The following is a 15,447-nucleotide window of genomic DNA, read 5'->3' on the forward strand; positions in this document are numbered from 1 at the left end:
GCATCCTTTCCAGTCCACCTGTGAAGCAGGGCCATGCAGCTCATGTGCCTTGTTGCCGTAGCACACTTCTCACTTGCCCCTCGGTTCTGGCCAATCAGCTTTGTCCTTACTAAGGATTATATCACAAATCCCAGTTGGGCTCTTCTCTCAAACTGTGACTGCAGCCTGAGTTAGACTTCTGCAACGTCCCGTGAGGTGGGATCAGGAATGGCTTCCCTCCATTCTTGCTGGAATCTGGGTCTGCACACAAAGCATGTCCCGATGCTGCTCCTTCTTATATATTCCTTACTTTTCACTGAATCACCTCTAGAGCTGAGTAGGTTTGAAGTCCTCCCTCATGACTTGTATTGCCTGGCTCGCCTGTGGGAGTATATGTCATGACAGCAATCTATCCCTCTCTCATGCTCTGGGGACTAATGGTTTTCCATCTGTTTTATGATGTAGTCTGTTGCCTGCCACTTCATTCAAAGGGTCTGTGGTTTCTTTCAGTTTTTCTGTTAAGTTCTTACATTGTTTCTTCGAATAAATTTTACAGCATGAATCTCTACATGCCATTTTGTCTTACCAAGTGGGATAAGTATGCTTATAATGCTTCCAATCTGCCATCTTGGAAAAAAAGAAAAAAAAAACTTTAAATATTTTGTCTGTAATGTGCTATGGAAGAGACCTTTTCACATTGTATCTGTTTAGGAATTGATGGGCCTCCTGTATCTCAATGTCTAAGTGTCTTGCTCGACTTAGGAAGTGTCATCTATTATTTCAATAAATAGGTCTTTGAAAACATGTTTTCTCTCTTTGCCTTCTGGGCTATCAGTGATTTTTATATTTGGTCACTTTATGTTGTTAGATAGATTCCAAAGGTTTATTTTATTATTTTCTTTTTTTCTTTATTTTTGTCTGACAGCGTTATTTCAAAAAAAACTGTCTTCAAGCAAAATGTGATCTTAACATAAGTCAGTTATGATTGAGTATATTGTTGAAGCTTTCATGTGTATTTTTTAGTTTATTCACTGCATTCTTTGGCTCCAGAATTTCTGTTCGTTCCTTTTTTATGGTCTCTATCTCTTTGGTAAAGACAGGGTGGCAGTGGCCATGCTGCTGCCCTGCCACTGGGTGTTGGATGCCACCTTCAGTGATGGCAGTCTAGGCCAGTGGGTGAAAAACACATGTGCCACATATGCCTTATCCCCAGTGGTGCTCCCACCTCAGCCCCAGGTGTGGTAGCCCATGAATGCTCATGTCTAAGCCCCAGGTTAACAGCCAGCTCTTCTTTTGCATCTCAGCCTCAGTGTTGCTTGGCTCCAAGACAGTGTGCAGTCTGTTGGGGGTGAGGCTCTAAGATGCTATCTTGCCCAGCCTTGATGTTCATGTCTTTCCCTTGGTTGCAGTAGCCTGTGGTCGCTCATGTCTGAATCTCCAGGGAAACATCAGACATTTAGTTTGCACCTAGGCCTCAATGCCACTGGGCTCCAGGACAGTATGTAGTTCATCGGGGGTGAGGCTCTGCAGTGGTGCCTCATTTGTGCCTCAGTCCTAAAAGCAGCAGCCCACGCCTTCGTCCCACCTCTGCACCAGATGCTGTAGTCTGTAGTCACTGATGCCTATGTCCCTGGGGCAGCAGTTCGTGCTTCTCTTGCACCTCAGCCCTGGGCTACTGGGCTCCAGGACAGTGCTCAGTCTGTTGAGGGCAGGGCTCTAAAATGGTACTTTGTTGTAGCTGCTTAAGTCTCAAGAAGTGTGAGGGACCCAGCGGGAGCTTTCTCCCTGAAGCAGTGCCATCATACAATCTCCTGGCAGCTTTCTATGTTAGTTTCGGGGCCCATGATGGTTGAAGGGATCTCCTGTGGCTGGGATTATAGGAGTCTATAGTGAGAATGTAAACTACTGAGGCTCTCTCACCTATCCTTTCTCTGTATTTGGAGTCTCTCAGCTCACAGCTGATCCTGGATGAGCAGGCTGCCTTGATTCCCTCTCCATCTCTGCTTTAAGTATTGCCTATCACTTTTCTAATGGATTCCAGTGATTTCCTTTGAATTATATATTCAAAGTGTGATTATCGACTCACCGTTTGGTTATTTTTAATGGAGAAAGTGAGTACAAAATGCCTCTAGTCTGCCATATTCATGGTTTCCAAGAAATAATTTTTAAAGGTTTTTAAATATTTTATGTAATTATAATGATTATGGGCATAAGAAGGATTATGGAGAAGAACGGAGCAAAATAAAAGCTTCATTCACTCTGCTGTCATATTTGATTATATCTTGAGGTCAAATTGATCTTTGCTATTGTCTTGGCTGCCGGCTCTGGCTACAGCTAATCCTGGGCAGGCTTTGCAGCTCCTACCACTTCCAGGCCCACAGCTGCAATCCCAAGCTTGCTCACCAAAACAAGTGTTTATTCATTATATCTTCAGTAGATTTTATTTTATAAATATGAATTGTTTATATGCATTTCTAATATGTCAAATGCTTTACTAGCTTTTTAATATCTTTATATCCATTTTCCCTGGATCATTACTTACTGTTCTTAACTCAGTGGTTCTTAACTGGAAGAGATTTTGCCACTTAGGGGATACTTGCCAATATCTAGAAATATTGTTGGTTGTCATAATTGGTGGCAGCAGGGAATGCTACTGGTATTTAATAAGCAGAGACAGAGATGCTTCTAAGCGTCTTATTGGACAAAGGACGACCTCACACAAGAAAGAATTATACTGCCTAAAATGTGATGGTGCTGACAGTGAGAAACCCTGAGTTTAACATAATTTGCTCAGAACTCTAAAAATGATTCACTTTCCAAAAATTTGCTGCATTTTTTCTTCTGGTCAGAATGTGCACAATGGAAATTCTTCCTGAAGGATTTGTGTGAGGAGACCTATTCTATAGCTGTTAAATGATTGGCAGGGAGGTTGATAGATGGAGGTGAAGTCAGCCAAAACTTAACTGATATTTAACAGCCAGGAAATACCCAACCTGGAAAGTATTCATTCATAGCATCACAAACCACTAAAGAAAAGTGATATTTTACCTCTGAGAAAGTTAACAGCAAAAGTATAGTCTTTCTAATTAGTTTTTAGCTTGCAATCTAAATAAATGACAAGTAGAGAATATCAGGTCATAAAATATCATTTAATTTTAAGAAATATTTTCATAAGAATATTGACATAAAAGTGATTTAAGAAAGTGAAAGTTACATTTAGCACAAGATTTTGCATTTTTCAAAAGTATATGATATTGGAAAAACATATAATTACATATTATTTTGAATTTGTTCTATGTAGCAAACTTTGTTCAGACCTCTTTAAGAACATTTCATAAATTTGGCATCATTACTAACATCTCCATGTTAAGAAGATTTTCACAGAAGCAATATTTTCTTGTGTCTCTAAATGGGAGAGAGTGCCTCTCCTCACTAAATTGCCATATTAAAGTGGACTGTTCAGCATTTATTTTCTTCAACCATTCTGTCTAAAATTCAGCCTGATGTATTAGCATTAGCATGAGTCCTCCTGCAAAATTGGTCAGTGGGTAGTTATGCTTTTGTGTGTTTTTCACATCAAAAAAAAAAACCCCACAAGAACAAAAACAAAACAAACACAAAAATGCTCAGTAAATAGTTAATGAATAAATTGTTCTATTCAAGGGGATTGAGAATGGACCTTGCTCCACTGCTTCTTTTTTTTTCTGTATTTTCAACATCTGCCTTTCTACTGGCTAATTAACTATAGTTTATAAATATGTTTAATATTAAATAAAAATTTAAGTAAGAGGAAGCATCAGGAACCACTTTAAAGGTGAATTGTAAAAAATAATGTGATAATAACTTCACTCTGCTTTTCCTTCTCACTTCTTTTCTTCTTTCTTCTTTTCTTTCCACTTAAGCCTCACAAGAGTGAAGCTTCTTGTCTGTCTCTTCTTACTTACCAGTCACTCTTTCTTCAACCTGGTGCTCTCTGACTCCTGTCTCTACCACTCAAATAAAGCTGTACTTTGCAAGACCATCAAAGCCATTTTAATTATCAAATCCAAAGACTCCTTTTGGATATTTCAGGTCTCCAAACAAATTGCATCTTCTTAAAGAGGAATTTCCTGACCACCTGAGTTAAATCTCATGACATTCGCAAACATATTGCCGTATTTTACATTCTTGATAGTCCCTAGTACTTGATCAAAAAGCTATCTATAGTTATTATACATATTACCTGGGTGATGAAATAATCTGTACACCAAACCCCCATGACACAGAGTTTACCTATATAACAAACCTGCACATATATCCTTGAACCTAAAAGTCAAAAAATAAGAAATCAACTGTAGATATTTGTTTATGTGTTTATTTTCTTTCTGCCCCCACTAGCATAAAATATTATTGAGGGAAGGGACTCAGCCTTGTCCACCAGATCCTAAATGAGACTTAGTAGACACATATTAAGCATTCAAGTAATATCTGTTTACTGACTGGGACTGATCAATTTGCCTCTTACCTGACCTCTCTGGAACATTTGTCAATGATGACCGTTTGCTTCTAGATGCCCCTTCACGGCTTTTGAAATAGTACCCTTCCTTTTCAGTCTATTTTGCTAACTTTCCAATATGATGTGATCTGTTTGAGAAAAGGGACTGCTATTAGCATATTTGCTGGCACATGAAGGACTCGCAGAACACTCATAAAACATCCTTCTATTTGGGCTTCAGTATGAAAGATCTTAACCGAACTGTGTGTTTAAAATGATGTGTATTGAAAGAAGTATTATTTTTGGGCCACGAAAATGCCTAAATATTTCTAGTGTGATAATTAGGTATTGAGAAAGTTGGAAGTGTATGAATATTTAAATTGCTTAATAGTATGAACTGTAGTGTTTTGGTACTTGGTTCATACAATTACTTGACTGAATGCTGTGCAGCCATTAAAATTATATTACAAATTATAATATTAAGATAAACTTAAATTATTTGTTATAAATTAACAAGGCACGACACAACATTATGCATAAAATATAAGTACAACTTTATAAGATGTATGCAACAATGAAAACTAGCAAGGAATGAAACTTGCTCATTTTTTGTTTCAATGATTTTGTTGCATTGTTTCAATGAAACAATGAAAATTATAACAGACTGTAGTAGCAGCTGAGTGATTTTATGGAATTTCAGATGTCTGTTCTTACTTTTCCAGATTCTCTGTAGCCTTTTAACTATCGTATATTTTAAAAACAATTCAAAGCTGAATACACTTTAAGCATCCTGTATAACTTGGAATGAACTTGTGATGAAATGTCAGAAGAGGTTAGTGGTAGGTGTTGTCACGTTTGTTCAAGAAGGAGAGGTTAGTGGTAGTGGTGGCATCTTTGTTCAAGAAAGAAATACATCCCCTTTTATTCATGGCCTTTGTGATTTTCTTTGTGTTTAATGTATTCCACAAGTAGATTCTCCTCTCAAGGTATCGCACCCTGGAAATATAAATAAAGACTTAAATTACTCCCATGAAAGTGACTTCTTCTAGCCCACACAGTGAATCACTGGCAGACCCGGGAATGAAACCTCTCAATTTACACTCTTAGACTTCATAAACATCCCTAAAACACTTCATCTCTCCTACATTGTTAGCTATATAACATTGTTAGCTCCTACATTGTTAGTTCTACATTTATTAGACTATAAGTCTTATGTTTTCCCTTTGATTGCTATTGCTCTAGGTGGCAACAAAAGTCATTCTAACTTCACTTATAAGAGCCAGGTTTGTTTGACACACACATTGTGGAGTTCATTAAATTATTGCTTCTTCTCTGTCATTTATAATTTTGAGAATAAATCTACGTTCTTGAAATTTATTGCACCTGCATTTGCAGAGGCATAGAGAAATGTGGCAATTTATTCATAAAACGCTTTATCATGTAAATGAATGATGGCCAGTCTCTAGTTCACAAGATGATTAGAGTAACAGAAAACACACAAATTCCAGCTTTATACATACAACAGCTTCAAGGCTATGTAGTTAGAAAAATATGATTGGAGGGTTGATCTGAGTTTAATGTATGAATTCACAGCCTCTGCAGGCTGTCCCTTACTCTACAGGAGTAAGGCCATCAACCTGTGTTATAGAAGCTACTAGGCCGGAGTACATCTTTTTGTCTCTGCGCACAAGAATGACTTGCTATCAGCTAATTTAGACAACCCATATACTCCCTTATTAGTGGCTAGCTACATATTTTTGTATTGTTTCTGACTTGAATAAGTTTATTGTGCATACATTGTCCAATTATAGCAACCTTGAGCTGGAGAGAAAGCTCATCTTCTCTAAAGAATACGTGTGAGGGAAAAATAAACTTCCTTCAAACTATATATCACCCCATGAACAGAATGCTCCTCAAGCAGGTATACAACTCCAGAAGAAATATCAGACATTCTCTTAAGAAATTGAATGACTCAAGAGCAAAAACTTTGATACCATTTAGATGATTGCCAGCATAATCCCTACCCAGATAATCAAAGGCAAATCCCTCTGATTAGTAAGCCTTGCCCACATACCAAGCGTGCCCCCATAGGGTTTTTGATGTTAGTTTGTTTTCATTTTAAATATTCAAAAGAGTATATATAAGTGCAATGTAAACAAGCAGACAGACACCTTCAGAAGTCTTAAGAAATATAATATTACCATTAAATTAAAAAGCTTTCCATGTGCTCTCCTCAAGCGCATCCCTTATCCAGGGATTGCCACCACGTTGAACTTTGTAGTACTTATTCCCTTTCTCTTCTCTTTGGAGTGTATGATGTTAATATCCCTCAACAATATATTTTGCAGTTGTCCCTGATTTTGAAGCTTATACGTATCATGTCATACTGTGTAAGTTATTCTGACACTTTTCCGTCCGATATCATGTTTTTGAAATTCAATCCTGTGGATATGTGCAATTATAGTTCACTTAGTTTTACTGATGTACAGCATTCCATTTTATGAATACACTAAAATCTATGTATTAATATTCTTCCAGTGGGCACTTACATTGCTTGGTGGCAAATTTTCAAACTTTCTATTGTCTGAATATGTCATTGTTTCACCCTCACATTTGAAAAATATTTAAATTTGGCGTATGAGTTTAGCTTGGTGGGCCTAATCCCTTCTCATTCCCTTGCTGAAAAGTCAGCTCTCAGTGTAGTTGCAATATGTGAATTATCTTTTCCCTCTGAATTCTTTTAATATCTTCTGTGTGCCTTTGGTATTCTGCTGTTTCACTGTTATGTGTTTAGGTGTGCATTTGTTTTCATTTATTTCACTTAAAATTTGTTGGTCTTTCTGTATTTGAAGTTTAATGTCTTCAAAAATTGTGGAAAAACATCAATTATCTCTTTGACTATTTCCTTGACTCCTATTTTCTAGAGTCTATTGAGATTTTAGTTACATATATGTGAGACCTTCTCACTCAATACACCACATCTTTTAATTTATTTTTTATAATTTAATCTCTGTTTTTATTAGGCAGTATTCCAGATAATTTCTTCAGATTATTTTCCTTTCCAATTTAAAATATCTGTATAGTATTTGCATTAACGAGAAATTTTTATTTAGAAGTAATAAAAACCAATGCCAACATTACCAAACATATGATTCAGCCTTCTAGGAAAGTTTTGGAAATACCCTCTAGTGTAATTGAACATTTTTTTTCTCATTAGCTCACAAGACATTTTATTTCTCAAAAGTAATTGGTAATTTTTTTTTAAGCGCTAACGTTTTCAGCCATTCTAGGATATAGTATATGTTTACTGATACAATATTTTCTTCATTGATATTTCCTTTGCTAGTTCTTCTGCATCAGCATTTTGAGTAATATAAAAAGGTAGTCTGAGGCACTTTTTCGTACTTGGTTTAATTTAGGTATGAATAATGTAAAGTGATGATTTGTAGGAAATCTCAAAAATAATTTCCCAAGTTTTGCAGTTAGTGCCAAGGACATTTTGCAAATGTACTTATAATTTCATTTAGATACAAATAAAGAACTAAATTAAAAGAGAGGTAAAATGCTTATTTTCTTTGGAGTGCAAAACTTGCATACAGATATTGATTGCGTACAACTCTGTTTATAGTGATAAATGAGAATAGTCTTTATGATGGTAGAAAAAAATTTCCACACATAACAGCAAAACTTTTCATAAGGCTTTGGTAAGAAATATATGATAAATTATCTTTAAAGTCTTATATGCCAATATTAAGCTTTAAGTTTTGCCGAATAAAAGTCGTAAATATCATCATTTCAGCTCCAGTCGTATTTTTAACAAAGGGATTTATATGGTGACAAAACAGAAGTTATGCTTGAGGTGTAAATGTATTAAGTGAATATATCTCTACTGACATTCAACTTCTATGAGCTAGCTAACCTTTAAATGCTAACAAATTTGCCAGTAGACACCTGACTCCCATTTATTTAATGTTTTATTATAGTTGTTATGTTGTATGTTGTATTATTTTAGAGAAACTAATAGAATTAGTTACTATTTAAGAGTTACTTATTTTGTTGTGGTTGTATTAATTAAGCTCTTATAGGGGAGAAAAAGCTCTGTAAAGTAGAATAGTTTCGTTGAAAAAGGATTTATGGGCAACTGTTTATGACCAAATCCTGGCACTTGCATTCATTAGCTGTATGACTAGGAATCTTTTCTGCACTTAAGTGCCCTCATTTGTAAAGTGGATATTATAATACATATGAATACATATGTGATAGAGGTATAGTGAAAGTAAGTTAAATAATAAATTTTAAGCATCTAAAACAGGGTCTAACATCATATATTGAAAATGTATTATGTTTTAGTTGTGATACCAGATGCTAAGATACGGAGAGGACAGACAGCTCCTAGCACATAATAGGTAAGTTCATTTCCACCAATTTAGTGGTTCTTGGTCTTTATTCCGTTTCAGATTCAGATCTGCACTGCTTACTCAACAGCCAGTTCCCATGTGTTTTTAAATTCTTGTTGCTTCCTCACCAGTGTTTTTTTTTTTTTTTAAATAAATGTGTTCCAGTTACTTTCCACTCCTTTTCCAACTGATAGGATAATGTACTTATGCATTCAGAAATCTACAGTTGCTTTCTATTACAATTGATTACACCTCTAAACTTGCTGGCCTAAGAGGGGGAGTGGGTGATGAGATTTAACAACAGGCGAGTTGCTACAATATACAAATCTCTATGATTGGCAGTTTACTGTGAGTACTGAGACTCCCACCTTTTCTAATAGTCTTGCCTCCTTAAGGGATCCTAACAGGACAATGAGATGAAAATATTTAATAGTACAGACAAAGACGCTACCTATGTTTTCAGAAGGCTTGTAATTCTCTCTTAACTCACAAACTCATTTTAATTATTTATTGTGCCTTCTCTTTCTCAAGTCCCCCCAAGATGGTAACAAAACTAATTATATCTCATCATTTACTTTTACAGTATGTTAATTCTACTCTGGTTCAACAATATCTCAACAACACAATATCTTCATTACCTAGAAGAGTAAGAATGTAACTATGTGCATCCAAGTTTTTGCACTGACTTTATATATAATTTGACAGTTGTTGTCATTTAATGAGCTCCATTGTTAAATTATGATAAACTACTGTTGTTGCTAACTTTAGTTCTTCTGGAATAGGTCATATTACTCTCATTTTATGGGAAGCTGTAGTTTACTTCCACTGGACAAATTCTTGAGTCTCATTTTTCTCATTCATAAGATAATGATAATGGTACCTGTTTCATTGGGCTTATAGAATTAAGTACAATAAAATAAAAGCAATTACCCCAGTGCATTATTTACTATACACTAAATAGATGGTAATTTCACATGAATGAGAATATCTGAATAAAATCCCATTCACCTATATTATGTATTAGATGAACTTTAGAATCATAGAATTTAGAAATAGGGCAGTATGTTGGGAATTCTGTACTCTAGTGATTTCCAACTGTGTTGTAGGACACATTGGGTTTCTGAGGCTGTTGCATGAGAGGAGAACAAGCACTTGTTACCCTCTTTCACGTTATTCAACCAAAAGAGTTGTAGATTTCATTCACATCATAATTTCATTACCTTATAGAGCACTTATTGGGCAGATTTACCTCATTCAATTCATGATACACCACATAATCTGAAATAACCAACCATCCCAACATAGCACCTTCTGAAGATGTTCATAGGTCATTATGGATGGATTTCTTAATCACTGCCACAGTCCAGTCATAGTTATAGATATCAAATGCTTCAGAGAAGACTGAATATTCCAAAAGAAAGTATGTGTAATATTGATAAGTATGTTCTCCAAAACAATGAAGTTCAATTAGAAATCAACAAAGAAATAAATTTGTGAAATACACAAACAATTGAAAAATTAAACTACACATTTCAAATAACCCATAGGCTAACAAATAAATCGTACAGATAATTAGAAGAATGTCTTTAGCTGAATAAAAATAAAACCAAATATCAGAATTTATGGGGTCTGGCTAAAGCAGTGTTTAGAGGGAAATGTATAGCTATGATGCTTATATTAGAAAAGAAGAAAGATCTTAAGTAAATTAATCTCAACTTCTACCTTCAGAAATAGAAAAAGAAGAGCAAATTAAATCCAAAGCATACAGAAAAAGTAAATATAAAGATTAAAGCAGAAATTAATAAAAGAAAAAACAAAGTAAATACAGAAAATCCATGCAGCTAAATGTTGATTCTTTGAAAATGAAAACAAAATTGACAGCCTTGTACCTAGACTGAACAAGAAATTAGGAGAGTGGATATTGCATAGTCAGGATTATCCAGAGAAACAGGACCATCAACAGGGTATGCATGTGTGTATGTGTATGTATACATATGTGTGTGTAGTATGTATGTATAAATATATATACACGCATCTATATGTATACATATGTATACACATACATGTGTATCTAAAGAGGCAGCTATATAGAGAGATATTTATTTTAATGAATGGTTCACTTATTATTCTCAGAACTGGAATAAGACAAGGATACCCACTCTCACAACTCCTATTCAACATATTACCGAAAGTCTTAGCCAGAACAATCAGAAAGGAGAAAAAAAAATGAAAGATGTAGAAACAGAAAAATAAGAAGTCAACCTATCTATCTTCACTGACAATATGATTCTATAAATAGGAAACCCTGAAGACTCCACCAAAAGGCTTCTAGAACTAATAAACGACTTTAGTAAAGTTTCAGGATACAAAATCAATGTACAAAAATTAGTAGCATTTCTATACACAAATAACATCCAGGCTGAGAGTCAAACGAAGAACACAGTTTCATTTAAAATAGCCAAACGAAAGTGAAATACCTAGAAATATATCTAAGCAAGTAGGTGAAAGATCTCTACAAGGAGAACTACAAAGCATAGAGAAAAGAAATCAGTGACAACACAAATAAATGAAAAAAAATTACTTGTTTATGGATTGAAAGAATTAATATTGTTAAGATGGTCATACTGCCCAAAGCGATTTATAGATTCAATGTTATCCCTATCAAACTGCCAACATCATTCTTTACAGAAGTAGAAGAAACTATTCTAAAATTCATATGGAATCCAAAAAGAGCCTGAATAGCCAAAGCAATACTAAGGAAAGGACAAATACCTGAGGTGATGTATACCCCATTTACTTTGATGTAATTATCATGCATTGCATGTCTGTATCGAAATATCTCATGTACCCCATAAATGGATACACCTAATATGTACTCACAAAAATTAAAATAAATACATTTATAGAAAGAACAAAGTCAGAGGCCTCACATTACCCAGTTACAAACTATACTATAAGGCTACAATAACCAAAAAAACATGGTAGTGGTATAAAAACAGACACACAGACCAATGTGTCTCTTACAGAAAAGAAAACTCAGAAATAAAGTCACACACCTCCAATCATCTGATATTTGACGAGGCCAACGAAAACAAGCAGTGGGGAAAGGACCCCTTGTTCAATAAATAGTGCTGGGATACCTGGCTAGCCATATGCGGAAGAATGAAACTGAACCACTACCATTCATTAAATATATAGAAATTAACTCAAGATGAATTAAAAATTTAAATGGAAGACCTCAGACTATAAATATCCTAAAAGAAAACCTAGGAAACACTTTTTTTGACATTGACTTTGGCAAATAATTTATGGCTAAGTCCCCAAAAGCAACAGCAATAAAATCAAAAATTGACAAGTGGGACCTAATTAAATTAAAGAGCCAAACAGAGTAAACAGCCTACAGAATGGGACAACATATTTGTAAACTATGCATCTAACAAAGGTCTAATATCCAGAATCTATAAGGAACTTAATAAGGAAAAATCAACCCTATTAAAATTAGTAAAGGACATAAGCAGACACTTCTCCAAAGGAGACATGAAAGTAGCCAACAAACACGAAAAATTGCTCAGCATCACAAATCATCAGAGAAATACAAATCAAAACCACAATGAGATACCACCTCACACCAGTCAGAATGGCTACTATTAAAAGGTCAAAAAATAACACACGCTGGCAATGCTGCAGAGAAAAAGGAATGCCTATACACCGTTGTTGGGAATGAAAATTTCTTCAGCCACGGTGGAAAGGAGTTGGAGATTTATCAAAGAACTTAAAACAGAGCAATCCCATTACTTGATATATACTCAAAGGAATAGAAATTATTCTACCAAAAAGACACATGCACTCATATGTTCATCACAGTGCTATTCACAATAGCAAAGACATGCAATCAACCTAGGTGCCCATCAAAGGTTGACTGGATTTTTTAAAATGTGGTACATGTACATCATGGAATACTATGCAGCTATAAAAATGATAATATCATATCCTTTATGGCAACATGAATGGAGCTGGAAGCCATTATGCTAAGCGAGTTAATGTAGAAACATAAAACTAAATACCACATGTTCTCACTTTTAAGTGGGCGATAAACACTGTGCGCACATAGACATAAACATGTGAACAATAGAAACAGCAGGCTACTAGAGCAGGGAGGGAGGAAGGGAGGCATGGGTAGGAAAACCACCTATTGGGTACTATGCTCGCTACTTGGGTGATAGGATCTATACTCCAACCTCAGCACTGTGCAATATACCACGTAATAAGTCTGCACCTGTACCCCTTATATGTAGAATAAAAGCTGAAATTTTTAAAAAAAGGTTCACTTGAATGTGGAGGTGTACGTTCAAAATCTGCCAGATAGGCAAATAAGCTGGAGATGCAGGAAAGTGTTATAGTCCAAGTTCAAAGACAATCAGCTGGCAAAATTCCTTCTTACTCAGAGGAAGTCAATATTTATTCTATTAAGGCCCTTCCATGGTTCAACAATACCCCCACACATTATGGAGGGTAATCTGTTTCACTCAAAGTTCACTAATTTAAGTATTAATCTCTTCCAAAAATCAACTTCACAAAAATATCCAGAATAATGTTTAACCAAACATCTGGGCAGTATGCCCCAGACAAATTGACATATAAAATCAACCATCACAGACAAATCACCGAAGCCAGTGCTGAAAAGAAGACATCACTATAGACTTTAAAGAAGATAAAAAGATTATAAGAGAATACTATGAAAATTTTATGCCCAAAATTAGAACATTTAGATGAAACTGATTAATTCCCTAGAAAGACTCAAAATTGTTGAATCAGACTCAAGAAGAAATAGAAAATCTGAATATAACTATCACAAAAGATTGAATTTCTAATGAAAAAGCCACACACACACAAAGACCAAGCTCAGATTACTTCAGTAATAAATTTTACCAAGCTTTTTTAAGAAAAATTAATATTAATTCACCACAAACTCATCCAACAAATAGAAGTAGGATTAGTGATTACAAATTGAGACTTGACATACTAACTAAAAAACAGTTTGTTTTGGTTCCAATCCATGTGATTCTTCAGTTTTCCTTTTATTTCTCCATCACTTCCAATTTAACCATTGTCCCTGTGACAGTTGGCCTGTTGGATATTGGGGGTAGTCTCAGTCTGTCCAGATCACTGAAGCATCTTTGTCAACATGGTAGGTAAATTGATGATGAAAATGATTGTCTTTAGAGCTTGAATTCTTACTATGTGCTACACTCCTTGTTTGGCACTTTTAATATATTATATTAAATATTATTATTTTAAGTACTATTAATTGCATCAGATTGTGAGGGCTGTGTTTCTGTTAATGCCAAGATTGAAATACAAGTTTGTCTTATGTGGGTTGTGCTTAATATTTTAAAAAATTAGGCTGATGTTCTTATTAAGATTTTATTTGTATATCATAAAATTAATTATTAAAAGTATACAGTTCAGTGGTTTTGGGTATATTCACAAGATTGTTCAACTGTCACCACTATTTCGAGAACATTTTAATAACCTGAAAGGAAATTTTACACCTGTTAGCAACCACTCTGCATTTTTTCCTTGTCCCAGACTCTGACAATCACTAATCTATTTTTTAATCCCTATGAATTTGCCTATTGTGAACTATCTTAGGACCCTTCTTGGCAATGAATTGACCACAAATGTGTGAATTTATTTCTGAACTCTTCTATTCCATTGATCTGTATGTCTATACTTGTGTCAGTATCATACAGTTTTAATTACTGTAACATTGCAGTAAATTTCAAAATCAGAAAGTATGACAATTCCAACTTTGTTCTTTTTTATTAAGATTGTCATGGGTATTCTGGGTCCCCTGCATTTCCATATGAAATTATGATCAGCTTATTCATTTCTGCAAAAATTGACAGTTTGAATTTTGGTAGGGCTTGCATTGTTTCTACAGATCAATGTGAGCAGTATTGCCATCTTAACAATATTAAGTCCTCCAATCCGTGAACATAGAATGCCTTTCCACTTGTTTAGGTCTTTTTTTTTTTTTTCAAATCACTATTATAGTTTTCATTGTGTAAGCATTGTAATTCTTTACTTAAATTTAATCCTAAGTATTTATTTTACTGTTGCTATTGTAAATGGAATTATCTTAATTTCATTTTCAAGTTTTTTACTAGTTCACAGAAATACAACTGAGTTTTTGTATATTGAGCTTGTATTCTGAAACCTTGCTGAGCTCATTTATTATATCTAATAATAGTATTTTTGTGTGTATGTGCGGATCCTTTAGGATTTTCTATATATCAAATCACGCAGTCTGCAATAGAGAGAGTTTTATTTCTTTCTTTCCAATTTGGATGCCTTTTCCTCCTTTTGCTTGCCTAATTGCACTAGGTTATACTTTCAGCTCTATGTTGAATAGAAATGGTCGTTGTCTTGTTTTTGATATTAGGAGAACAGATTACAGTCTTTCATCTTTGAGTATCATGTTAGCTGCAGGGGTTTTTTATGCACTCTTTGTCAAGTTGAGGGTGTTTCTCTCTATTCCTAGTTTGTTGAGTTGTTTTCTTTTTTCAGTCATGAAAGGGTGTGTTAGATTTGGTG

General features: G+C 34.8%; 1 protein-coding gene across 1 annotated transcript in view; it reads left to right on the forward strand.

Annotated features, from left to right (window-relative positions):
• MAGEC3 (MAGE family member C3) overlaps positions 1,093-15,447 on the forward strand; it is a 59,517-nt gene continuing 45,162 nt past the window's right edge. Inside the window, exon 1 of the mRNA NM_138702.1 lies at positions 1,093-1,215. Within this exon, the coding sequence (NP_619647.1) occupies positions 1,093-1,215 (123 nt within the window). The remainder of the gene's footprint in view (positions 1,216-15,447) is intronic.

This window comes from Homo sapiens, chromosome X (genome assembly GCF_000001405.40).
Source record: "Homo sapiens chromosome X, GRCh38.p14 Primary Assembly".
Taxonomy (NCBI): Eukaryota; Metazoa; Chordata; class Mammalia; order Primates; family Hominidae; genus Homo; species Homo sapiens.